The sequence below is a fragment of the Homo sapiens genome, chromosome 22 (genome assembly GCF_000001405.40).
Source record: "Homo sapiens chromosome 22, GRCh38.p14 Primary Assembly".
Classification (NCBI taxonomy): domain Eukaryota; kingdom Metazoa; phylum Chordata; class Mammalia; order Primates; family Hominidae; genus Homo; species Homo sapiens.
This window is the reverse complement of record NC_000022.11, coordinates 18648480-18654561: the sequence shown is the minus strand read 5'-3', so window position 1 is coordinate 18654561 and position 6082 is coordinate 18648480. Positions and strand designations below refer to the sequence as shown.

The 6082-nt window shown below is 56.1% G+C and overlaps 1 pseudogene; it reads left to right on the top strand.

Annotated features, from left to right (window-relative positions):
• PPP1R26P2 (protein phosphatase 1 regulatory subunit 26 pseudogene 2) lies at positions 750 to 4734 on the top strand (annotated as a pseudogene).
• The last annotated feature ends 1348 nt before the right edge of the window (positions 4735 to 6082 follow it).

The window sequence follows — 6082 nt, the reverse complement described above, 5'->3', positions numbered from 1 at the left end:
TGCCCTCCAGCCTGGGCGACAGAGCGAGACTCTGTCTCAAAAAAAAAAGTTCACAGGGAAAGGTAAGTATATAGTCACATTCATAACACTGTAATATTGCAGTGGTGGTGTGTAAATCACTTTTCACTGTAGTATAAAAGTTAAAATGTAAAAGTATTAGGCGGCCCGGGAGCGGGGCAGCTGCTGCGGGGAGGCGGGGAGGCGGGGGGCCTGGCCGGACACCCCTGCGCCCCCTCCCCGCACCCGGGCGGAGGGCGGCCTCTTCCCCCTCTCCCTCCCCCACCACCCCCGGCAGCCGCCTCCCCCAGGACGCAGGAGGCGGGCGGAGGCCGGGTCCGCGCAGCGGGCGACTTGCGGCATGGGCCGGGTCGAGGTGGGGGGGCGGTTTCGGGGGCTGGGAAGCTGGGGTGCCGGGGACAGGAGGGTGGGGGAGCTGGGGAAAGGAGGGCTGGGGGGCCGGGGACAGGAGGGCCATGCAGGCAGTGGCAAGCGGGCGGCGAGGGCTCCGTGGGGCAGGTGGACGGGGATCAGCGCCTGGGGCTGCTCCGTTCCCCAGGCGGGTGTCGTGGCTCTGGCCTCCATGCAACTCCAGGTCTGCGCGCCCCGCGCTGCTGGAGCCCCAGTCAAAAGTCTATTTAAAAAGCAGAGAGAGGATGCTTCCCTCTGAGTGGAGCGATGAAGACCTGATCCCTGGGCCATTTGGGAACACTAGCTGCCTTTCATCACAGTCAACCTGGACTCAGAGAATGTCAAGAGCTTGTTGGTTGGGTCAAGAATGAATCTAGGCATGACGTCATAGTTTATAGTCATCCTTTTAAACCTGCAAAGAAGCATTTGCAGGTTTAAAGTTATTTCACGGGTACTGCTTGCCAATCTTTGGAGGATGTGAAGCCTGCAGAGAAATAAAGTGTCGCCCCTCTGCGCGTCGCTCCCCATCTGCCAGAATGTTTCTCATGAATGCTCCTCCAGTGGTTGCTCTCCAGCGCAAATGGGTGGCCTCTGTCCCACCAGGGAGCTTTAGGTTCCCCGGGTGCTTCTCGGAGGCTGACAAGGGCGTGGAGAGCATGTCGGTGAGCACCCGGGTGCAGATGCTCATCAGCACGCTGCAGAGCGACAGGGCTGCTAGGGGCACCAGCGATGAGCGCACTGCGCAGAGGGGGCAGAGGGATGCCACGACGCCAGGCCTGCTGCCAAGCCCACCATGCACAAGGAGCTGCCTGCGTTGGCTGCCTGTGGTCTTGTTGCTGACTTTGACCCCGTGGGGGAGGAGGAAACTGCAGACTTTGGCCCATTGGTGCTAGATTCAGACAGTGACGATTCCGTGGACCGGGACATTGAGGAGGCCATCCAGGAGTACCTGAAGGTAAAGAGTGGAGCCGCACAGCCCGGGGCCAGCGGGGCCCAGCCATGCACAGCCTTCCAGGGCTGCAGGCGGAGGCAGTAGATGTAAGCCGGAACTGGCTCACAGCAGTGCCCAACTGCCCTGTGTTCCCCAAAACTTGTACCTGGCTCAGGTGGTGTGGCCCTGGCAGCCAGGTGGGATCCAGCAAGGACCAGGGCTCTGCCTCCCCAGTCAGCATGAGCAGAGCAGACTCCTTTGAGCAGAGCATCAGGGCAGAAATCGAACAGTTTCTGAATGAGAAAAGACAGCATGAGAACCAAAAATGTGATGGGTCAGTGGAGAAGAAACCAGACACACATGAAAATTCGGCGAAGTCACTCTCGAAATCCCACCAAGAGCCGGCTACAAAGGTGGTGCACCGGCAGGGCCTGATGGGCGTCCAGAAGGAGTTCGCCTTCTGCAGACCTCCCCCGGTTAGCAAAGACAAACGTGCAGCCCAGAAGCCTCAGGTCCAAGGTCACGACCACGCAGGAGAAGGAGGGCAGCACAAAGCCAGCAACCCCCACCGCCCTTCAGAAGCAGTACAGAATAAAAGTGGGATTAAAAGGAACGCCAGCACCGCAAGGAGGGGAAAGCGAGTCACGAGCGCCGTACAGGCGCCCGAGGCGTCCGACTCCAGCAGCGACGACGGCATTGAGGAGGCCATCCAGCTGTACCAGGTGCAGAAAACACGCAAGGAGGCCGACGGGGACCCGCCCCAGAGGGTCCAGCTCCAAGAGGAAAGAGCACCTGCCCCTCCCGCACACAGCACAAGCAGCGCCACAAAAAGTGCCTTGCCAGAGACCCACAGGAAAACACCCAGCAAGAAGAAGCCAGTGCCCACCAAGACCACGGACCCTGGTCCAGGGGATCTGGACGCTGACCATTCCCCCAAGATCCCAAAGGAAACCAAAGCTCCACCTCCAACGAGCCCGGCTTCCAGGAGCAAGTTTGTGGAATGGTCCTCTTGCCAGGCAGACACCTCCGCTGAGCTGATGTGTGTAGAAGCAGTCCTGGACATTTTCAAGACGATCCTGCCGGCCCTATGGAGGGCAGCGATGGGTCCCTGTCCGCAAGCCCACTCTTCTACTCCCCCAACGTGCCTTCCCGCTCTGATGGTGACAGTAGCTCCGTGGACAGCGACGACAGCATTGAGCAGGAAATCTGGACGTTTTTGGCCCTCAAGGTGCAGTCTAGAAGTTTGCTGGCCAGAGGTGAGAGCTGCCCTCAGGCTGCCCAGGGCCCACTTTCACCACCTGGCCTCAGCAGCCAGACCGGCAGCCCCAAGGCCCCTCTCTCTAAAACACTGGACCCACTCCTGGCTGCAAAAGGAAGCATAGAGGCGGCTGCCAAGTGAGGCCATCCACTCCCAAGAACATGCGGGTGGTGGGGAAAGAGGGTGGCCAGGATGCCGACCGCAGCCAGGGGAGAGCCGGGCCGGGCCATGAGGGGCGGGACCTTTCCATCCAGGGCACAGCCAGCGAGGCCCCGGGAGGAGAGGGCGCCGCTAGGGTGCCCGGTGACACTCGCACGTCACAGGGCCAGGGTAAGACAGACGAGGCAAGGCACCTAGACAAGAAGAAGAGCTCCGAAGACAAAAGCAGTTCCCTGGACAGTGACAAGGACCTGGACACAGCCATCAAGGACTTGTTAAGGTCCAAGTGAAAGCTCAAGAAGAGGTCCAGGGAGCCCAGGGCTGTGTGCAGGAAGAAGGTCAGGTTCAGCACCTCCCAGACGCACTTCCAGGAGCAGCTGGGCAGGCTCCTGAGAGAGTGGAAAAACAGGCACCTGCAGGTGCTGAAGAGCTGCCTAAGTCCAAGAGAGACAGCTGCGAGGGCTCCAGGAAGAAACCCCCCAGTGTCTTTGGCAGCAGGGCCGAGAGGACGAAGCCCCGGCCTTCCTGGTGAGGAGACCCGCTTCTGCCTCCGCCTCCGAAGAGAATCTATTCCCCAGAGAGTCCCAGGGCCCAGCTCCCAGCCCTGGCTCCTTGTCTGACAACAGCAGTTCAGTGGACAGCGACGATAGCATCGAACTGGAGATTAGGAAGTTTTTGGTGGAAAAGGCCAAGGAGTCGGTGAGCAGTTCAGAAGTTCAGGCAGAGGGCCCCACCGCTCTCGGGACAGGGGGCCCAGCCAGGCCAGAGGTACCTTGCAGGAAGGAGCCGGCCCCACTGCCTGGCATGTGCACACGGAGCCAGAGGGCCGGGGGGTCCCACATTTGGCTAAAGGGCATCGAGGCGCAGGGAGCGCAGGAGCACAGGGCGCAGCGTGCCTGCTCAGCCAGGGTGGGAAGGGGCTCCCCACTGATCCGGCGGAGGGGATCATGCGCCACCCAGGAGGACCAGCGGCAGTGTCTCCGCCAAGGTCTCTCAGTGAGCAAGAGAAATGTTTACGTTTACAAAGACCAGAGCCCACGAGGGGCTGAGCCTGCTGCCAAAAGTGCTTTTGGTCAGCGGCCCAGCTGTGCCACAGCGGGCACCGAGGCAGGAGGAGCCAGGGGGACCTTTCACGTGGACTGCAGGAACCGGAGCTTCCTGACCCCCAGCCCGGGAGCTGAGAGGGATGCTGGAGCCCAGGCCAACCGCGCCCCGCCCTGGAGTGACTTTGCCCACCACAGTCGGCTGCCCAGCCCATGGGCACTGCGCTCCAAAGGTAGAGATGCGGCGTGGAGGGGGCGGCATTGGGAGAGAGAGACAAGGGGTCCGAGGGCCCCGCCCGGGGCCTGCCCAGCCTGCCCCTTGCGGGCTTCTCCCCGCTGCTGTCCACCCAGCTCTTCCACTTTGGAAAGGGTGTCTCCTGGGGGGGCAGGGAGACCGGCCTCTTCAGCCCCTACCTGGGGCTGCCTCTGCAGGGCCTGTCCTTCTCGGCCTTCAGGGAGTCCCAGGCCAGGCCCAGCCCTGTCTTTGGAAGCCCACACTTGCTGGCGAAGAAGGACTGCGATCACCGGCCAAGCAGGAAGGTACAGACGGGGCTGAGTTTGCACAACAGGAAGAGCTCTGGCTCGGAGGAAAGGATTTTAGACCTGAGGTATCCACGAAGGGTCAATCAGTAGAGTTGACCAGGACCAGGACACCTTGGGCAGGGACACCAGTGACTTCAGCGACACCTCCGCAGAGGTGTTGCTGCTGCAGTGGCGGCAGCTCAGTAGTGAAGGTATAAGACCTCGAGCTGTGGGTTCGCGTCCTGGGTTCCATGCATTCGTGGAAAGCGGCATAGCCGACGTGTATCTGTGCCTGTGTGTGATGGTTCTGTGGTTGCAGGGAGGGGAAACAGTCTGTTATACATAGTCTTGTGTATATGTATACCAACACGAAACAATGCTTTTATTTAACAGATGTGTCCTGGTAAATATGATTTTTGTAGATTTTGTACATTATTTGAAGTGATGAAAAATGTTTTTGGAAAATACTGTTGGTCAATTTTGTAGGGTGTTCCTTAACTGCAGTTTTCTGTGTTCTGCATACAAGTCTTAGATTAGAAAACATTTGGTTTTTATCATCACAACCAGGTTTACAGGGACTCTGATGTTTTTTGGTTGGTTGCTGGTGAGAATGGCCAGCACTGGCTGCAGGGGTAGCCTTAGGAAGGCCGAGGTGCCCTCCCCAGGAATCGCTCACATGCCCCAAAGTGTCCGTCAGGAAGTTCCTGGGACAGCACTTTTTATACAGAGGACACCCCCCCACCACCGCCTGGCTTCATGGTCCTTGGAGGCCAGAGCACATCTGAAAACTACAGGAACGGAAAACCAAACTCCGCATGTTCTCACTCATAAGTGGGAGTTGAACAATCAGAACACTTGGACACAGGGCAGGGAATATCACACACTGAGGCCTGTTGGGGGATGGGGGCAAGGGGAGAGATAGTATTAGGAGAAGTACCTAATGTAAATGATGGGTTGATGGGTGCAGCAAACCACCATGGCACATGTATACCTAAGTGATAAACCTGCACTTTCTGCACGGCTACCCCAGAACTTAAAGTATAATTAAAAAAAAAAAAAAAAACAGAAAAAATAAGTAGAGATTAAACCAGTAATGAAAAATCTCCCAACAAAGAAAATCCCAGGACCAAATGGTTTTACTGGTCAATTTCAACAAACATTTAAAGAATTAATAACAATCCTTCTCAAACTCTTCCAAAAAAATTGAAGAAAAGGGAACACATTGAAACTCATTCTAAGAGGCCAGCATTATCCTGATATCAATGCCAGATAAGAACACTACAAAATAAGAAAACTATAGGTCAATATCCCTGGTTAACATAGATGCAAAAATCCTCAATGAAATACTAGTAAACCAAATTCAACAGTGCATTAAAAGAATTATTCACCATGAATCCAGTCTCTACCAAAAATCCAAAAAAAAAAAAAATTAGCTGAGCATGCTGGCGGGTGCCTGTGGTCCCAGCTACTAGGGAGGCTGAGGCAGGAGAATGGCGTGAACTTGGGAGGCGGAGCTTGTAGTGAGCCGAGATCGCGCCACTGCACTCAGGCCTGGATGACAGAGCGAGACTCCATCTCAAAAAAATAAATACATAATAAATAAATAAAAAACAAAAAAAGAATTATTCACCAGGATCAAGTGGGATTTATCTCTGGCATGCAAGGATGCTTTAACATACAAGAGTCACTAAATGTGATACACCACATCAACACAATAAACGATAAAAATCCTTTATTTTTATTATTAAAAAGCACTTGATA